Below are 19,043 nucleotides of genomic sequence, written 5' to 3'. Positions count from 1 at the left end.
GATTTATATTTCATTGATTTAGACACTGCTCTGAGTATGGCTTCAGAAGTGTTACATACGCATAATAAAATCCTTTACAGCTATTAAAAGGAGTGAGGTAGGAAAGCATACTGCTAAAAGCAAAGAAGCCAGATGAGAACTGTGTACTGTACATCCCCACTTGTTTAAAACGTTTGTATATTATATTCACATATGTATGCTTTCCACTACATAGAAGTTTTCTGGAAGGTATTTCTGCACATTTATAAAGATGCACATCTAATAATTTCATTTCCCCCCATTTTCTACTTATTGCTCTGAGGTCAACACTGAATAGTCCTTATGAAGATGGTATTGAATATTCTTTCAACAAAAAAGTCTCCGGATCTCAACTACTGGAGCTCAGAAAACGATACCCCAAAGTAGGAGGCTTTGGCATGCTAAGTACTTTGAACTAAAGGAGATTAGGTCTCAGTAGCAGCCTCAGAAACAAAGTCTACCCATGACTTTCTCCTGCCCTCCTGTCTCCAGCGGTCTTGCACCCCTGAAGTAAGTCACAGGAACCAGAATTCTTCTTCCCCAAGGAGGGTTATGGAAACTTAGAACCTTCAAAGTAATTTATAAACTTGGAAATCTTACTGTAACATTTTCTTCTACCTCTCTCTGTCTTTGAGACAGGGTCTTGCTCTATCACCCAGGCTGGAGTGCAGCAGCATGATCATAGACAACTGTAGCCTCCTGGGCTCAAGCAATCCTCCTGCCTCAGCCTCCTTAGTAGCTGAGACTACAGGTGTGTGCCACTATGCCCAGCTAACTTAAAAAAAATTTTTTTTTTGTATAGAGGGAGTCTTGCTACATTGCCCTGGCTGAGAATTTACATTTCTAACAAGTTCCAAGGAGATGCTCCTGCTGCTGGTCTGGGGATGGCCGTTTGAGGATCCCTGCATGAAGGCATACACAGGACTTGATCCTCAGTGGGGGCACCAGGAGCTGGAGCCTGGGGAGTGGGAAGCGAGAGCACAGAGCTGACTGAGGACCACGAGGTCGTCGTGGAGGACCTAGGCTGAAGGTCCTGAAGAAATCCCCATAGTTTCACTGCCAGGCCAGCCAGGTGGACATCTCAGGGCTGAGGAGGTGAGAAGGCAAGACAGAAAGTGAAACAGCACTTTATAGGATAGGGATGGGAAGGTCATCTGCATCATGGGACTCCTTGGGGAGGGGTTCGGTCATTGCTCCAGATGAAGGTTTAGTCTTTTCATCGTAAATTTGCTTTCACTGTTGGGAAAGAGATCTTCACCTCCATTTTCTTAACTTCAAAATGGAAATGACAGATGCTTTTGAGTGGTCTGAATACTTGAAATTTGAGGGAAAACGTTACCAGAAACACATACAACTAGAGTTAAAGATAAATACATATATCAAACGCATGGCTCAAAAATGACAACGCGTCTTCTTTATCTGCCTTCACGTAGAACTTAAAACAGACCCTGGTCCCCACCTCGGGGTTTCCTCGCGCCCACGGGCTGCGCTGCGCAGCTGGGCCAGCAGGTGGCGAGGCTCCCGCACTTTTTTTCCCGGGCCTGGCCGCACCGCCACCGCCCACCCCGCGCTCCGCCCCGCCCCGCCCCGCCGCACTCGCGGATCGTCACACGGTCAGGCCACCGCGCGTCACCGCCCCGGGCTCTGCTAGAAAGTGCCGGGGTCCAGATTCCTTTCAGGTGACTGGGTTGGGAGGAGAAGTCGCTCAGCGTAATTGTCGGAGCCGAAATAAACAGAGACTCCGCGGCCGGGCGGGACCTTACCCGGAAGTCCCCCAGAACAGCACTACCCTTCGCTGAAACCTCGCCCGCCCCCTCCAACCCAGAGACGAAAAGGGAAAGCATCACGGCCAGAAACCGTTGGCACAACTCCACAGATACTCTCCCGGGCCGAGCCAGACTCCATAAGTCCCGCGCCTGGCCCCCGGGGATTGCAGGGGCTGAGGAGAAGGGCAACACGGGGACCTTGAAGCGGGGTCGCGGCGGCGCCCCAGCCCGGGCCAGGGAGTCCCGGCAGCGGCACCTCCCAGAAAGGGCGGAGCCGACGACGCCTTCTTCCTTCCTGACCGGCGCGCGCAGCCTGCTGCCGCGGTCAGCGCCTGCTCCTGCTCCTCCGCTCCTCCTGCGCGGGGTGCTGAAACAGCCCGGGGAAGTAGAGCCGCCTCCGGGGAGCCCAACCAGCCGAACGCCGCCGGCGTCAGCAGCCTTGCGCGGCCACAGCATGACCGCTCGCGGCCTGGCCCTTGGCCTCCTCCTGCTGCTACTGTGTCCAGCGCAGGTGAGCGGTCGCCGGCCACCGGGACGCCCTGTGGGGACGTGGCGGGGCCGAGAGCCGGGGAAGGCGACGGGCCCAGCGACGGCTCAGGCCCGGGTCCTGGGGAAGTTGGTCTGGCGATGGAGAGCTCGGAGGTTCCTCACTTGTCCTGTTTCTGTCTCCGGCCACGCTCTCTTTCCTGTGGTCTGGAAGAGGGTGGCAGTGGGGGCTTGGGTGACCTGTTCTGAGCTTGTTCCATCTGTGGTCACCTAATTTCTCTGTGTAGGATGTGGCACCAGAAGAAGGGAGGAAAGTGGGTAGAGTGGGATAGGGACACTACTTGCTTTTTAAAAAATTCTGCTACATGCGCACGAACTCCAAAATTTAGGAGCTCTAACCACTTTATTTCCTCTTCTCATCACCTGAGGATGGAGGTGGAAGCAGAGGTAAAGAGACACAAACTTCCTCAAGCACCCGGTGAAACTGCCTTGAGTACTTGACATAAGTCAGCTTGGTCTTCTAAAGAGGGCAGGTTACTTTTCATCAACTCCTTTTTACACCTCAGGACACTGAGACTCACAGGGCGGTATTGAATTTCCCCTTGTCACTATTAGCCAGCGACAGGATGGGGCCTGGAACTCGGTGTCCTGCTGACTCCTTCTGGGGGCTTTTGCTTGGTTTAATAGCTTTGGGAAAGAGCACCTCAGTATTTGTGTGTCTGTAGTTTCCTCTTTTAAAACTGGAGTGGGGCAGTGTCACGCTGTGACTCGTTAAACCAAATCAGGATGAGAGTGCCTCCGGGGAATTGTGTCCTTGTGCACATTAACGCCCCTCACATAGGTGTGGCGTCAATAGGAAGTGGTGAATCAGGGGAGAGGGGGTTCCGTGGACTAGAAAAAACTCTCCTTCGACTTCTATTTAGTTCTCAGAAGGGGATAGGTGATGTTGATCCAATAATGGACTAAGAGCCAGGAGAAGGGCTCCGCGGGAGGATCTCTTGAGCTCAGCAGTTCAAGACCAGCCGGGGCAACATGGTGAAACACCGTCTTAAAAACATTTTGTTTTTCTTTTCATTGTTGAGGTTGAGGCTGCTGTGAGCTGTGATCACGCCGGTGTACTCCAGCCTGGGCAACAGAGCAAGACCCTGTGTCAAAACAAAAAAGAGAGAGAAATAAATAATAGCAATTATGTGCCGTAGAGAAAATGTGGCTATTCTGTTTCCCTAGAGTTTTTTAAAATTTATTTTTAAAATTTATTTATTTTAGAGACAGGTTCTTGCTCTGTTGCCCAGGCGTGGGGGCAGTGTCGCCATCATAGCTCACTGCAGCCTGGAACTCCTGGCCTCAAGCAGTCCTTCCACCTTGGCCTCCCAAAGCACTGGGATTATTGTGAGCACCACTCCTGGCCCCTCCTAGAGTTTTAGATCAGGACCTTAAATAGGCTTCCCTTTTTTTTGGAGACAGAGTCTCTGTTGCCCAGTCTGGAGTGTAGTGGCGCAATCTCGGCTCACTGCAACCTCTGCCTCCTGGATTCAAGCAATTCTGGTGCCTCAGCCTCCCAGGTAGCTAGGATTACAGGTGCCCACCACCACGCCCAGCTAATTTTTGTATTTTCCGTGGAGATGGGGTTTCACCGTGTTGGTCAGGCTGGTCTCGAAATCCTGACCTCTAGCGATCCGCCCTCCTCTTTTGGGGATTACAGGTGTGAGCCACCTCGCCCAGCCAGGCTTCACATTATTAAGTAGCCATCTCTTAAGTATTTTTTAAATCTCAAGTACCCAAGGCTGATGGCCAATGAGTGCTTCTTTTATGACATTTGGGATAGGTCAGAGGTTTGTTGTAAGTCTCTTGCAAAAATGCCTGGAGGCCTTTTCAAGGTCTGTAAACCTTAACTGGAAATAATCCTATTATTATTTTAAAAATTCCTCATGTCTGAAAGCTTTCAGTGCACCTGAACAGATTGGGGTGGAGCCATGAAGCCAAACAGATTGGGAGAGAGAGTGTGTCTGCTTTTAGAATTCGTACCGATGATAGCAGCTCATTAGCTTCAGTCTGAGCGCTAGTAGAGTTCTATCATGGAATTATGGACTAGTTGTCCTGTGTAAGATCTGAAATACATGTTGGGGGGATTTTTGCTTTTTCTTAATGTTCAATATGTACAGATGATGTAATAACATTACTAGACTGCCTTGTTTTTAAAACCCTGTAGTCATCTAAAAACTATATGCAGTTTTGAGACATAGCCTTTATTTTTCCCGGCTGTAATTTTGGTAAGCTTTATCTTGAGGGACTTGGAACATAGAGAAGCCTGGGTAGAAATTAAGCATTAAAATGGCTTTTCCTCAGAAGACTGGGAATGGTTAATCTTTTGACCTGTGAGTGATTAAGAACAACCATCTGAAATTGGAATGACTGTGGGAAATCTTTCCCCATCTTTCCCACTCCTTGACTGATGCTGTGATCAGAAATTTTACTAACATAAGTAATCAAGGGGAAAATGAGATTTTTTTAAATTTGAGCCAGTGGGCAGAGGGAAAAGGACTCGCTGAATAGGCCTTTGTATTCCTCCAGTGTTTGTTATATTACCCAGAACAAAGAATCACTCTGGTCATGAAGACAGTGTGCTCTCTCTTTCCTGGGTAACCCTCCACTCCTAAAAGGGATGCAGTATTCTAAGCATGGCAGATTACCTACAGCGGAAGCCTGGATCAGTCATCTCTGATCTCGGGTGCCCCTTTCTGCCCTTTGACCTCCAGCTCTGTGAAGGGCATCAGCTCTCCAGTCAAATTGAACTGCTTGCTAGCAAAATCCTGCCCATCTTCCAGGGCCCCATTTCACATGCTACATTATCTACGACATTCTTGTCCTGTTCCCCTAACTAGAATGCCTTCCCTCTGAAGTTCTGAATCTTTATTTAAACTGCTGCAACAGCATTTGCTGCCTCATTAAAAGACCTTGGTGTGGGTCTTGACTCTTCTCTGTTCCCAAGAGTGATCTTGGGTAAGCCAGTTATCCTCTGGAGCCTCAGTTTCCTCCTCTGTAAAATTGGATTAACTGTGCCAACTATGCTTGTGAAAGACAAATATTTCCTAATTGAACTACCGAATTGCAGGCTCCTTAAGAGCAATAACTGTTGCTCTCCAATATCATCTACAAATGTGGCCAGGACACTTGACTTGGGACTCTTTTTTTTTTTTTTTTTTTTGAAACAGGGTCTTGCACTGTCCCCCAGGCTGAAGTGTAGTGGTTTGATTGTGGCTCACTGAAGTGTTGACCCTGGGCTCAAGCTATCCTTCCACCTCAGCCTCCCACGTAGCTGGGACTGCAGGTGCATGCCACCATGCCCAACTAATTTTTAAATTTTTTGTAGACACAAGGTCTTGCTGTGTTGCCCAAGGTGGTCTTGAATTCCTGGGCTGGAGATCCTCCCACCTTGGCCTCCCAAAGTGCTGGGATTACAAGCATGAGCCACCGTGCTGGCCCTGGAATCTTTTTTTTTTTTTTTCAAGACCAGGTCTTACTTTGGTTGCCCAGGCTGGAGCGCAGTGGCACGATCTTGGCTCACTACAGCCTCGACCTCCCGGGCTCAGGTGATTCTCCCACATCAAGCCTCCCGAGTAGCTGGGACTATAGGTGTGCACCATCATGCCCTGCTAATTTTTTGTATTTTTAGTAGAGAAGGGGTTTTGCCAGCTTGCCCAGGCTGGTCTCGAACTCCTGAGCTCAAGTGATACCATCCACCTCCGCCTCCCAAAGTGCTGGGATTACAGGTGTGAGCCACCATGCCTGGCCCACTGGGATTCTTTGATCATAAGATATTTGGGCCTTGAAATGGATTTTGGGGAGAGACTTAGAAACTAGTGGCAATCAAAATTGGATTTGCAGTTGGTTTCTAGGTGATGGCAGTGATCAGCTGCGGCCAGCCAGGTTTTTCTTCATCTGGACTGTGCCTCTCACTTTCAAATTTTTGGAACATTTGCTTTGGCAGCAAAACTTTTAAAAAACCAACTCTCTCTGGTGCAGGTGTTCTGTTGGAGGATTTGAGAGAAGCTTTAAAATTTTATCTTATTACTGTCCCTTGCTTAGGTCACAAGAGGAGCTCAAAATAATTTCATAAACATGAATTGGCTTCCCTAGACACAACAAAGGATAAGATCAAAAGAATTAACCCATTTAAAAAAATCAGTCTAGGCTGGTCCTAAGGTAGTGTGTTATCAATTGATCAAAGTCAGTTACAGATCGAACTCCTTGATCTACTCTTTCCTCCTGCTCACTACTGCACTTGACTAGTCCAAAACAATAAGTAAGTAGTAAAAAAAAGAAAAAAAGTCCGTCTATACACTGTAAAGTGCTGTGTAAATGTTCATAATTACTATCACTGTCTTCTTCATAGTTGATGGGGGGAAGGCTGGATACATAAAAAAATGGTAATACAGTAAGAAGTGCTCAGATAAGAATAAAGATAAAATGTTATGGAGAGTCCATTTTTGAGCTGAGCTATGGAGGATGAATTAATGTATCAGGTGGACAAGAGGAAAACTAGAGAAAATAGTCGGGAGAGTTGCCTAATTGTTGCCCTAAACTATTGAACTGTTCACTTGAAAAGGGTGAATTTTATGGTATGTAAATTACATGAGTAAAGCTCTTAAAAAAATTTGCAGGGTGCTATATACTAGATTACATAAGACTAGAGACAAAAGCTACCCAAATTTTGCATAGTACTCCATTGCTATCACATCCGATCTTGTTTTATCCTCACAGAGCCCCTTTAAGGTAGGTGTAATGCTGTTTTTCCTATTTTATAGATGCAGACATCAAGGGTCAAATTTGTCCCAAGGTCACATAGCTAGTAGATGGCACATTGGGTGCTTCAACTGCCATCTTCTGACTTCTGTGCCCTAGTTTTTTGAAATTCAAGGCTAGATTATTGGTGTTTAGCAAGCTTAATTGAATGGGTGTTCAGCAGATATTCCACTTGGTTAGTAGAGCAGTCTCATTCAAGGCCTGGTTCCGTCCCCAGTGTGGCTCTTCCAGTAGTCCGTAATAGATCAGGAATGGGTTTAGCCTGCTGGCCTGACCCCTGATTCAGTCACCACACTGTGAACATTCCATAGGGAAAAAACTGCAGACAGTGTATACTGGCACCCACTTTCATAGTTTTGTTTTAGTTTTGTGGCTCCTAAATGTCTAAGACTAACTAGTAATATGACCTTGGGTGAGTCACATAAAAAACCAGAAGCTAAAGGGGTTATCTGTAAAACGAAGAGTTGGACTAGCTGAGCACACCTAGCACTCAAAATATATGACTTAAACACCCACATGCAGGCAGGCCTGGTGCACACACAAATTATCCTTTGTTATGTAGATACGTTCATGCCAGGTTGGCTATAAAACACTTCCAGAGATTTCCGTCAATAGAAGTCAGACCAGCCCGGCAGCCTCCACCCTAAATGCCCTGCCATATTTGTTTGGTCTGCCTCCCTGACTCCAAAGAAGCAGCAGGCAGCTTAATCTCTGGACAGGATTCTTCATGCCACTCCCTCCACTCCAGCCTGTGTTGTCCTGACTGGCCAGGCCAGCCTCTGCTCTCTGGAGAAGCAATGAGGTAGGGAAGTTAACCAGCAAGCCCCTCTCCTCCATCGCCTCACTGGAGCTTGAGCTGGGTATCTCTCCATGTTTTGCCATTAGCTTTACCCATCCAGGACAGGGGCACAAGTGTTGGTGCCAAGCCCTGCACTCCCAGCTCTGGTGGATGGCCAAGTCCTACCCTGGGGTTGAGGACTGTCAGTGATACTGAGTAAGGGAGTCATTGCTTGACAACTGCCTAGAGAGATACTTTAAAAGATAGGAATGGGAGGCATTATTTCTACAAGTGAACAAGTTTATATTGAAGGAACACTTGTATAGGATCATCATGGATGGGACAGTTCATCTCCAGTGCATTCTCCAATTCTGAGGATACATCACTGCACAAACTGGACTAGAGTTTAAATGGTACAGAAGCTGGGGGTAGGGGAGGCAGGAGGACAAGGGGGATGGGTGGAGAATGCTTAACTTGGTGTTCAAAATCATGTTATTTATGAGCCATGTGACCTCAGAGTATCTTTGAGCCTGAGTTCACTTACCTGTAAAATTCTGCTGTGCTACTGCATAGAGTATCTGAGAAAATGAGGCATGCAGTCGATGTTTGGTATTTTTGTTTCATTTATTTATTTTACTGCCATGCCTCGAGAACAATAGATGTTCAGTAAGTATTTGAATATGTTAGTTAATGCTTTAGGATTTCCTAAAGGCAGTGGAATAGAATTCTCACTGAGTTCAGAGCTTTTCTGATAATAATGTGTGCTTATGGAGCTCCTGAATGGGGTCCAATTTAGCAGTTGCTATAGTTGCTGAGATATAGCACAAGGGGCATTTTTTTTTTTTTTAGATGGAGTCTCTCTCTGTTACCCAGGCTGGAGTGCAGCGGTGCGATCTCAGCTTACTGCAACCTCCGCCTCCCGGGTTCACGCCATTCTCCTGTCTCAGCCTGTAGCTGGGACTACAGGCACCTGCCACCATGCCCGGCTAATTTTTTGTATTTTTAGTAGAGACGGGGTTTCACTGTGTTAGGCAGGATGGTCTCGATCTCCTGACCTCGTGATCTGCCCACCTCGGCCTCCCAAAGTGCTGGGATTACAGGCATGAGCCACTGCACCTGGCCTAGAAGGGGCTTTTTTTTAACCTTTCCTGAACTGTTCCTATCGTTGAAAGAAGCTTCCCTATCCAGTCATTTTCTTAGTAATTAAACTCTAGAGCATGTTGTGAAATATCCATATGATCTAACCTTTAAAAATAGAAACTCTTTAGCTGTGTAACTACTAAATTCTGGGTAGAAGCCAAAACAATCAGCACTTCTCATTTCTGAACTTAGATAATCCAGTTGTACTCCCTCAGCTCATTGTGAGTTTTGACAAGTTCTGCATCCATGAACACCAGATGTAATACAATAGGGAATTTCAAAGGAAGGATTACACACCTAGGCTCTGCCCTCTAGGATTTTACCGTCTTACAAGGGAGTTGAGACAAAAGTGAGAAAATACTCTGGCAACTTCTCCCAACATCACAACTTTGCAATTCTCATAAATTTTGCTTGATCCTAGGGCATGACCAAGGCAGAGGCAGGCAGGTCCTACTTCATGTGGGAGAGAAGGAAGGAAGGGTAGGCAGTTAGAGTGATAGGTTTGGAATACTGTAGAAAGGAGAGTGGGCAGAGCCAGAGTGAGGTGTCTGAAGCTTGTCGCACAGGCAGTGGGAAGGGTGGGTTGGAGGTTTCTGAGCACCAGAAAACTTTGAGCATTGTTCCGGAAGAGGCAAGCGGCAGGCATCTGCACCAGAGACACTGCCGGGTCCGAGTGAGGGCAGGAGGCTGCACGAGGGAGCCTCCCTGGGAGTGAGCGATAGGTTCGCTATGGGAGGTGGGTTCGAAAGGTGCCTGAGATTTTCATTTGAAACTCTGTTGAAGAGGAATTGGCAATAGAGGAGGAAATACAAATAGAGGAAAGATTGGTTTCGTCTTAAGCACTGAGGCTGTTGGGCAGCTAGTGGAAAGTGCTGCTGGAGAGAAGCTGGAGATCACTGAAGCTGAGAGAGGGGTTTGTGGATATAATTAGAGCAGTGTTTCTAGGGAGGTGCAGGTGAAGGGACTGAGAGAGAGATGAGGTTAAAAACACAGAAGAGAAAGAGATGGAGGTGTGGAGGCCCCTGAGGTGGAGCAGCTGCAGAGGCAGGCCTGGGGGCCAGGAGGCTGGCTCTCCACTTTCAGCTGTTGGTGAGAAGGGAGTGAAGGCTGAGCAGCTCCCATTGTGCAGCTGTTGAGTGCACAGGTGCTCGTGCTCTTGCACACGGTGGGGTTTGGGGAGGGTGTGATGCTACAGGGAGGACTTTCATGATGCAGCTGATTCTCTTTTATTGAGAGTCTGTTTCTGGAGTCACCTGCTCTGTTTTGAATCCTGGCTTTGCCACTGTGACCTTGGACAAGTTGTTTAGCCTCAGTGCCTTCGTTTCTGCATCTGTAAAAGGGGTATAATAACGCCTCCCTCATCAAACTGTTGTAGGATTAATTGGGTTAACATATTGAGAGGTGACAGCGTGCTGGCAGTCCTCAGAGCCCTTGCTTGCTCTCGGCACCTCCCCTGCCTGGGCTCCCACTTTGGTGGCATTTGAGGAGCCCTTCAGTCCCCCACTGCACTGTGGGAGCCCCTTTCTGGGCTGGCCAAGGCCGGAGCCCACTCCCTCAGCTTGCAGGGAGGTGTGGAGGGAGAGACACGAGCAGGAACCGGGGCTGTGTGCGGCACTTGCGGGCCAGCTGGAGTTCCGGGTGGGCGTGGGCTTGGTGGGCCCCACACTCGGAGCAGCCAGCCAGCCCTGCTGGCCCCGGGCAATGGGGGACTTAGCACCCGGGCCAGTGGCTGCAGAGGGTGTACTGGGTCCCCCCAGCAGTGCCGGCCCACCGGCGCTGCGCTCGATTTCTCGCTGGGCCTTGGCTGCCTTCCCACGGGGCAGGGCTCGGGACCTGCAGCCCGCCATGCCAGAGCCTCCCACCCCCTCCGTGGCCTCCTGTGCAGCCTGAGCCTCCCCGACGAGCGCCACCCCCTGCTCCACGGCGCCCAGTCCCATCGACCACCCAAGGGCTGAGGAATGCAGGCGCACGGCGCAGGACTGGCAGGCAGCTCCACCTGCAGCCCCGGTGCGGGATCCACTAGGTGAAGCCAGCTGGGCTTCTGAGTCTGGTGGGGACGTGGAGAGTCTTTATATCTAGCTCAGGGATTGTAAATACACCAATCAGCACCCTGTGTTTAGCTCAAGGTTTGTGAGTGCACCAATCAACACTCTGTATCTAGCTGCTCTGGTGAGGACGTGGAGAACCTTTATGTCTAGCTCAAGGATTGTAAATACACCAATCAGCACCCTGTGTTTAGCTCAAGGTTTGTGAGTGCACCAATCGACACTCTAGCTGCTCTGGTGAGGACGTGGAGAACCTTTATGTCTAGCTCAAGGATTGTAAATACACCAATCGGCACTCTGTATCTAGCTCAAGGTTTGTAAACACACCAATCAGCACCCTGTGTTTAGCTCAAGGTTTGTGAGTGCACCAGTCGACACTCTGTATCTAGCTGCTCTGGTGGGGCCTTGGAGAACCTGTGTGTGGAAACTCTGTATCTAACTAATCTGATGGGGACGTGGAGAACCTTTGTATCTAGCTCAGGGATTATAAACGCACCAATCAGCACCCTGACAAAACAGGCCACTCGGCTCTACCAATCAGCAGGATGTGGGTGGGGCCAGATAAAAGAATAAAAGCAGGCTGCCCAAGCCAGCATTAGCAACCCGCCCGGGTCCTCTTCCATGCTGTGGAAGCGTTGTTCTTTCGCTCTTTGCAATAAATCTTGCTACTGCTCACTCTTTGGGTCCACACTGCTTTTATGAGCTGTAACACTCACCGCGAAGATCTGCAGCTTCACTCCTGAGCCCAGCGAGACCACGAGCCCACTGGGAGGAACGAACAACTCCAGACGCGCTGCCTTAAGAGCTGTAACACTCACCGCGAAGGTCTGCAGCTTCACTCCTGAGCCAGCGAGATCACGAACCCACCAGAAGGAAGAAACTCCGAAAACATCTGAACATCAGAAGGGACAGATTCCAGACGCGCCACCTTAAGAGCTGTAACGCTCACCGCCAGGGTCCGCGGCTTCATTCTTGAAGTCAGTGAGACCAAGAACCCACCAATTCCGGACACAATGTGAAGAGCATTTAAAATAGTGCCTAAGCCTAGGACACCGCCAGTGCTTTGTAAGTCTTTGGGTCCTGCTGGCTTAGGTTGCTTCTTTCGGCAGGATGACTTTTTTTTTGAGACCAGTTTTCACTTTGTTGTCCAGGCTGGAGTGCAGAGGTGCTATCTCAGCTCACTGCAGCCTCAACCTCCTGGGTTCAAGCTGATCTTCCCAGCTCAGCCTCCGGAGTAGCTGGGACTATGGGCATGTGCCACTAGGCTCGGCTAATTTTTGGCTGTTGTTGTTTTTGTTTGTTTTGTTTTTTTGTTTGTTTTTTGAGACAGTTTAGCTCTTGTTGCCCAGGCTGGAGTGTAATGGCACAATCTTGGCTCACCACAACCTCCGCCTCTCGGGTTCAAGCAATTCTCTTGCCTCAGCCTCCTAAGTAGCTGGGATTACAGGCATGCACCCCCCACACCTGGCTAATTTTGTATTTTCAGTAGAGACAGGGTTTCTCCATGTCGGTCAGGCTGGTCTCGAACTCCTGACCTCAGGTGATTCACCTGCCTCAGCCTCCCAAAGTGCTGGGATTACAGGTGTGAGCCACCGTGCCCGGCCTGTTGTTGTTGTTGTTTTTAAGAGACAGGGTTTCACTGTGTTGCCCAGGCTGGTCTCAAACTCCTGGGCTCAAGCGACCCACCTGCCTTGGCTTCCCAAAGTGCTGGGATTATAGGCGTGAGCCACCACTTCCAGCCAGGATGACTTTTTTTTTTTTTTTTTTTTTTTTTTTGGTCTTCTCTGCTGTGTCTCTAGAAGATGACCTTTTGAGAAGCAAACCTGAATGTTGATTCAAGCCCAAATTTCCTGGGCTCAGGTGTTAATTTTTTAAGTCTTTGGAACCTCTTTGCCGAGGTCTCAAGCAGGTAGAAGACATTAATAATAATTCCTTATATTTGATTGCGTGGTGCTCTGTAGTTTACTGAGTACTTACTATATATGTACAGATAGGCCCTTATTTGATCTTCACAGGAACCTGTGAGGTAGGCAGAGCTTATGAGCTTCATTTCCCAGGTAGGAAAACTCCTACGTGGTTACGTAACCTGCTCCAGGTGTGATCCCAGGTGCAATCCAGCTCAACAAGCACACTGAGCCTCAGGAGCTCTTGGGATCAGAACCCAGGACTCGATCCCACTCCGTGCCGCCTTCTCACCCACCCCTCTTCCACCAAGTGGGTGGAAATAGCACTTGCTTTGAAATAAGTAACGAATGATCTTTGTGAAAAGGAACCTAAACAGCAGTGGGCCATCTTTATTCACATCTATAGTACCAAGTGCTGAGTAAGGGGATTTTAGACTCCAGACACCCGTCCTGTTTGTCAGGCCAGAGCTGCAGTGTGTTGACTGCACATCTGTCTCTTGTCACTCCTGCTCCTGTGGGTAACCAGCCAGAGTGCCCCTGAGGCAGAGACAGGCCAATCCCTGGAGAGTTCTGCGAGGTCTAGGGAAGAGTTCTTTGTATTTAAAATTTCATGTGAACTTCAGCAGTTTCCTCTGCCTCTGTAGTCAGCTTTTGCCTTTTCAAACTTTAGTTAGATGGATAATGACTTTTACTCATTAGGACTTTTTTCCATTAGTTGGAAACCCAGAGTTGCAATACGTTTCTTTTTTCCTTAGAATCACCGGGTTTATGGGAATAACAATTGGGATTCTCTTTATATAAAAATAGTGGTGGAATCTTGGCACAGGGTTCATATGTGGCTTTGTTGAAGGCTTGTTGTCACTTCCTTATTTGTATAATTTCCCTCCTTTGTGGCCTAAACATGACTTTCAAAGAGTCAAGAGGAGTTAAGTCCTAATTTTTATTTTAGAACATCTGAAAAATGAATTCAGAGAAAAGTGATATTGATGCCTTGGATTTCCCCACACATACAAATCCCAATCTCCTGCTGACTTTTTCTCATGTTTTTGGGCTTCAGGGACTGTTGTGGGATTTGTATTTTGATACTGAAGGACCAACACAGACTGACTTAGCTTCTTGCCTGTGTGCAGGTCATGTGCCACTGTCACTGGAGAGAATTTCATGTTGTGACTTCTGTTCAGATTTGTTTTTTTTTTATGGCTTTCCCATCAGGGTTCTTGGGAGCCATGGCTGCTTCTTGATATCTTCTGTTTCCCTGTAGAACAGACGATTGCAGGCCCGGGGCCCTGGCAAGCTGGGCCCTCTGTGGCTTTCTGAGTCCATTGTGAGGCAGAGGATCAGGTGCGTTTTGGGCAGCAGCCTTCAGAGCAAGGCACTGACCTGATGATTCACACTGACCCCTCCCCTCCGCTGAATTTTCTGACAACCTTGTGACTCTCACATGGGAAATGTGAGTGGTTTTTGAGAAATCTTTACATAAGAGGTTTTAAAATTTTCTTTTGAGATTGCCTCGGTGTTTTTCCTTAAAGTTAGCACATTCTTTGCTTTCTACTTCAGCCTCAAGGACAGGAAGTTCATTCTCGCTCTTTACATTGGGGTGTTGATGTTTGTGGTTTTGTTGTTTTGTTCTTCATGTTACTCATGATGTATTGATATTAATTAACCTAAATACATATGGAAATATTCTTTCATTACTTAGAGCTTATATAGTTCCTGGTGCAGATGTGCAAAAATAGTGCTTTAGTAATTGCTAAGTCACTATCTTGCTTTTCTCTCTACTGTGATTGAGTATTTCTTACATGGAACTATAGCTTCCTCTTATCAACAAATAAGCAGGAAATAGAAATTATGTAAATAAGCAATTTCCATTACCTACTTCACTGACTTGACAAATAGGCATTTGGTCTGCTTTAATTAATATTTTTCAAAATGTTAAGTGCCTGTTGCTGTTACTTAATTTTGCAGGTAGCATTGGAAGTTTCTGTGATTGTACTTGAGTGGGCACTTCTTGTTGAAATTTACCATTGAGACCCTGGTAACACTGAAGTTTGTGTTGACTTTCTGTAGGTGTTTTCACAGTCCTGTGTTTGGTATGGAGAGTGTGGAATTGCATATGGGGACAAGAGGTACAATTGCGAATATTCTGGCCCACCAAAACCATTGCCAAAGGATGGATATGACTTAGTGCAGGTAAGTTCATTATCTTAGGCACTGGGAACACAAAATGCTGATCACAAGATCCTCTGTAATTATTCCTTAAATGTTATTGCAGGGTGGAGGTGGAGATGAGACTAACAGGCTTAAGTCTTATCCCGGACTCTCAAACTCTAACCTGTGGCATACAGTGCAGAGAAAGAACACCGTAACTCCAAAGGCTTAATTTTTCAGGGGCTGACTTTATACCTCTCATAAAGTTTCCCAATAGCAGGTTGCTATTTAGAGACTGACCTTGGTACTTCGTATGTTGCCCTTGCAGCATCTGCAAAATATATTAGAAGTTAGCTGGTTTTGATTCCTAGATTTCAGGACTCAAATGGACTCTGTTGCTAAGTGGCTTTGACGTCCTTGTCCCCTGGTCATTTCAGTGTTTTCTCTGTGTTCCACTGAGAGCCTGTGAATTTTGGCTGCTACCAGGATTCTGATTCCTGTTCTTTTTTTACCATCCTGTGATACACAGGGATATTAGAACTGGAAAAATCATGTGAAAAGCCTGGTTTTAGAGGCTTAAAGTAATCAAAAGTCAAGTCGACATGATAACAGAGTTCCTAGGCTCACTTGTTCGTTTCTTTTCTGTTTTTGAGACAGAAGGAGCCTTGCTCTTTTATCCTGGCTGAAGGCTAGAGTGCAGTGGCACAATCACGGCTCACTGTGTCCTCGACCTCCTGAGCTCAAGCAATCTCTCAACTCAGCGTCCCAAGTAGCTGGGACTACAGGCACATGCCACAACCCCTGGCTAATTTTTTAAAAATTTGGGGAGATGGGGCTTCACCATGTTGCCTAGCCTGGTCTCAAACTCCTAGGCTCAAGCAATCCACCCTCCTCAGCCTTCCTAAGTACTGGGAGTACAGGCATGAGCCACAGTACCTGTCCTCACTTGCTGCTTTCATCATAATTATTAAAGGTTTCAACTTTCCCTGGAATTACTAATAGAAATAGTAAGTAGCACTCTGGTTGAATTGAATCAAACAAACAAAAAACCCTAAGAAGACATAAAATGATTGTCAGGAGAGGAGAGAAAGCTTCCAAATAAAAAGAAAATTAGAAACATCTCTACTTGTGAATAAATAGTAAATGTGTAGCCTTTTAAAATAATTCTATAATAACTTTGCAAATACAGGATGTGTCTTACCCTTTTGTACTTCAAAAGGATTACATGAATGAATGTGTCTTAGTTCACTGAGGAATGTTGACCTTACTCTAACTGTTGCCTACTCCCGTGTCTGTGCTCTTTCACCTGAAAGGAACTCTGTCCAGGATTCTTCTTTGGCAATGTCAGTCTCTGTTGTGATGTTCGGCAGCTTCAGACACTAAAAGACAACCTGCAGCTGCCTCTACAGTTTCTGTCCAGGTAGGTTCTGCTGGGGAAACAGAACAACTGGGCTGTAGATACTTGTGAACTGGTAATGCTCAGCTTTCCATTTATTCTTTGTTTACATATTTTTATTTATTATATGTCTATATTATATGTATATTATATATTTATACATATATGTATACATGTAAAGTAGGTGAATATATATTTATGTATTAAAAATACATGTATGTATAATGTGTATGCATGCGTGTGTGTATAATAGAGACAGAGTCTCACTCTGCTGCCCAGGCTAGAGTGCAGTGGTTTGTGGTGTGATCACAGCTCACTGCAGCTTAAACTTCCTAGGCTCCAGTGATTGTTCTACCTTAGCCTCCTGAGTAGCTAGGACTACAGGCATGCACTACCATGTCTAGCTAATTTTATTTATGTTTTTCTTTATTTTTTTTTTTTTTTGAGACAGACTCTTGCTCTGTCACCGAGGCTGGAGTACAGTGGCATGATCTCAGCTTACTGCAACCTCCTCCCGGGTTCAAGCGATTCTCCTGCCTCAGCCTCCCCAGTAGCTGGGACTGCAGGCACATGCCACCACACCTAGCTAAGTTTTATATTTTTAGTAGAGGTGGGGTTTCACCATGTTGGCCAGGCTGGTCTCAAACTCCTGACCTCAAGTCATCTACCCGCCTCAGCCTGGTTATTACAGGCTGGGATTACAGGCATGAGCCACTGCACCTAGCCTAATTTTTATTTTTTTCTAGAGATGAGGGTCTCACTATGTTGGCCAGGCCTGGTCTCAAATGATCCTCCCACCTTAGCCTCCCAGAGTGCTGGATTATAGGTGTGAACCACAGTTCCCAGCCAGTTTTTTTTTTTTTTTAAAGTCAGTTTTTGTTTTGTTTTAAGAAAGCACTCTTACAATTTGTCAGAAATAAAGAGAAAAACAATAATTACCAGACTTGGTTCACTTCCCAGTTGCATTCAGAGTTGATGCTTGGTTTCCTCTGCGATGTTCTCACCCTGCAGGGTGTCTGCACTGCGGCCAGGCTCCTTTCAAACTTGAGCTGTGCACTGTGGGGAAGAGAGGTTCCTAGGGGTCCTGCTCAGGTGCCTGGCCTGAGACTCTCATCATGCAGTCCTTCCTCTCCCCCCATGCTTTGCTTTGCACATCATTCTTGTCCCTCCCTCTGGTGAAGGGTTGTGATAGAGTCAGGTCCTCAGTAGAGCCGGCCTCGGGGAGCTGTTAAAAATTTTGTTCTGCTGTAGCTGGCTGGTTTTGTCAAACTTAGTTTTTTATCTGTTCTGTTGGCTATGACCCTGAGCAGTGAAAAAGGGCTTGGTAATAGATGTTCTTCTCTAGGCCTAGCCAGCAATTCTCAAATATGCAAAAGAGCAAGCTGGTAGTGGTCTTTAGAACAGCAGATTGTGGTATCTTTCTAAATTTTTCAGACTTCAGCACACTGATAAAGATGTTTGGGAAGCAAATATTAAAAAGGGAAAATGCTTCTCTGCACAAATATCACTGCAGGTGGTGATAGGGCACAAGTTGGCTTCCAGTGAAGAAATTCTGCTTCTTACCAAAAGTTAACAATAGAGAATGGAAAACCACCACTAAATTGTTTTTTCAGAACAACAAAAGTTGAGGCTGTAATTGGGCCAGCATATCCTATGAAAGGCTTGTGAACATTGATGGAACCAAATTGGAGCCTTGTACACTCAGTCAAAACACATTTATTTAGGATCCACCGTAGGTGAGGCATTATGGACATACGGACATAAACATAAAAAGATAGCCAACCTTTCTCCATATTATCAGAGGTACCAAAGCTTGATTTATAATAGCAAACAGGAGAAACAACCTGATATTTGGAAAAATATACAGCTGTCAAAATTAGTGATTGTGGGCATTAAATGTAGTAACATGGAAAAGGTTTGAAAACTGTGTACCCCAAGAGTGATTCCTATTAGAATAATACAATTGTGGTTTCTGGCTTTGTTGCAGTAAAGCAGTGGGGCTCCTGAAAGAAAGAGAGTCTGTGCTTCTCTGTCTCCTTCACTAGAACAGAGACTCTTGAAGGCCAGGACACACTTTTTTCATTCTTTGTCTTACATGGTCACTGGGACTGAATCGGAGTCTAAAGTAATCTTGATTGCAAGAATGCAAGTCTAATGAAACAGCTTTTGCAAGTAACAGTGGACCAAAGGGAAAAGAGAGCTCTTTTATCATGTAACAAGTCAACATTAGGAGCTTAAACTTTGAACCTGAAGGATAGCAGGCAGCTTATGGTTCTTGTGCAGTTGTGTGCTCCTGAAGTGCATGCAGCCAGAGAACAACATTGCTGTTCTCTATCTTTACAAACCATGGGGATTTCTCCTTGTGTTTCAGGAGGGCCTAGTGATTTTCCGGGGCTTGAAAGAAAACCTTTCAATAGGTTATAAGATGAAGATTCTCATAATTCTCATTATTTTATTTTCTTCTTAATCAAAACTGTCAGCTGGTGCAGCGCTCATGTCGATAATCCCAGCACTTTGGAAGGCCAAGGCAGGAGGGTTGCTTGAGTTTAGGAGTTTGAG

The 19,043-nt window shown here is 46.5% G+C and overlaps 1 protein-coding gene across 10 annotated transcripts in view, besides 7 other annotated features; it reads left to right on the top strand.

Moving 5' to 3' along the window:
- Nucleotides 1,405–1,654: a silencer, noted in NCBI's record as "silent region_9360". NCBI's record gives its function as "represses an Ori minimal core promoter by ATAC-STARR-seq in GM12878 lymphoblastoid cells {active_cell/tissue: GM12878}" and the evidence as "EXISTENCE:reporter gene assay evidence [ECO:0000049][PMID:35858748]".
- Nucleotides 2,005–2,054: a silencer, noted in NCBI's record as "silent region_9359". NCBI's record gives its function as "represses an Ori minimal core promoter by ATAC-STARR-seq in GM12878 lymphoblastoid cells {active_cell/tissue: GM12878}" and the evidence as "EXISTENCE:reporter gene assay evidence [ECO:0000049][PMID:35858748]".
- Nucleotides 2,076–19,043, top strand: part of NPC1 (NPC intracellular cholesterol transporter 1) — an 80,323-nt gene continuing 63,355 nt past the window's right edge. For all 10 annotated transcript variants that reach the window (XM_005258279.3, XM_005258277.1, XM_017025787.2 and 7 more), the window contains exons 1-3: nucleotides 2,076–2,295; nucleotides 15,008–15,130; nucleotides 16,402–16,508. In XM_005258279.3, the coding sequence (XP_005258336.1) occupies nucleotides 2,239–2,295; nucleotides 15,008–15,130; nucleotides 16,402–16,508 (287 nt within the window). In that variant the 5' untranslated portion in view covers nucleotides 2,076–2,238. The remainder of the gene's footprint in view (nucleotides 2,296–15,007; nucleotides 15,131–16,401; nucleotides 16,509–19,043) is intronic.
- Nucleotides 2,335–2,434: a silencer, noted in NCBI's record as "silent region_9358". NCBI's record gives its function as "represses an Ori minimal core promoter by ATAC-STARR-seq in GM12878 lymphoblastoid cells {active_cell/tissue: GM12878}" and the evidence as "EXISTENCE:reporter gene assay evidence [ECO:0000049][PMID:35858748]".
- Nucleotides 2,458–3,004: an enhancer, noted in NCBI's record as "H3K27ac hESC enhancer chr18:21165542-21166088 (GRCh37/hg19 assembly coordinates)". NCBI's record gives its function as "activates a minimal SCP1, AML or CMV promoter by ChIP-STARR-seq in primed H9 embryonic stem cells {active_cell/tissue: H9 hESC(primed)}" and the evidence as "EXISTENCE:reporter gene assay evidence [ECO:0000049][PMID:30033119]".
- Nucleotides 3,005–3,552: an enhancer, noted in NCBI's record as "H3K27ac hESC enhancer chr18:21164994-21165541 (GRCh37/hg19 assembly coordinates)". NCBI's record gives its function as "activates a minimal SCP1, AML or CMV promoter by ChIP-STARR-seq in naive H9 embryonic stem cells {active_cell/tissue: H9 hESC(naive)}" and the evidence as "EXISTENCE:reporter gene assay evidence [ECO:0000049][PMID:30033119]".
- Nucleotides 11,231–12,430: an enhancer, noted in NCBI's record as "BRD4-independent group 4 enhancer chr18:21156116-21157315 (GRCh37/hg19 assembly coordinates)". NCBI's record gives its function as "activates an origin of replication core promoter dependent on BRD2, P300/CBP, MED14 and CDK7 cofactors, and independent of BRD4, by STARR-seq in HCT116 cells {active_cell/tissue: HCT116}" and the evidence as "EXISTENCE:reporter gene assay evidence [ECO:0000049][PMID:35650434]".
- Nucleotides 14,203–14,497: an enhancer, noted in NCBI's record as "tiled region #2631; HepG2 Activating DNase matched - State 5:Enh". NCBI's record gives its function as "activates a minimal TATA promoter and a strong SV40 promoter by Sharpr-MPRA in HepG2 cells {active_cell/tissue: HepG2}" and the evidence as "EXISTENCE:reporter gene assay evidence [ECO:0000049][PMID:27701403]".

This window comes from Homo sapiens, chromosome 18 (genome assembly GCF_000001405.40).
Source record: "Homo sapiens chromosome 18, GRCh38.p14 Primary Assembly".
Taxonomy (NCBI): domain Eukaryota; kingdom Metazoa; phylum Chordata; class Mammalia; order Primates; family Hominidae; genus Homo; species Homo sapiens.
This window is presented reverse-complemented; position numbering and strand designations above follow the sequence as displayed.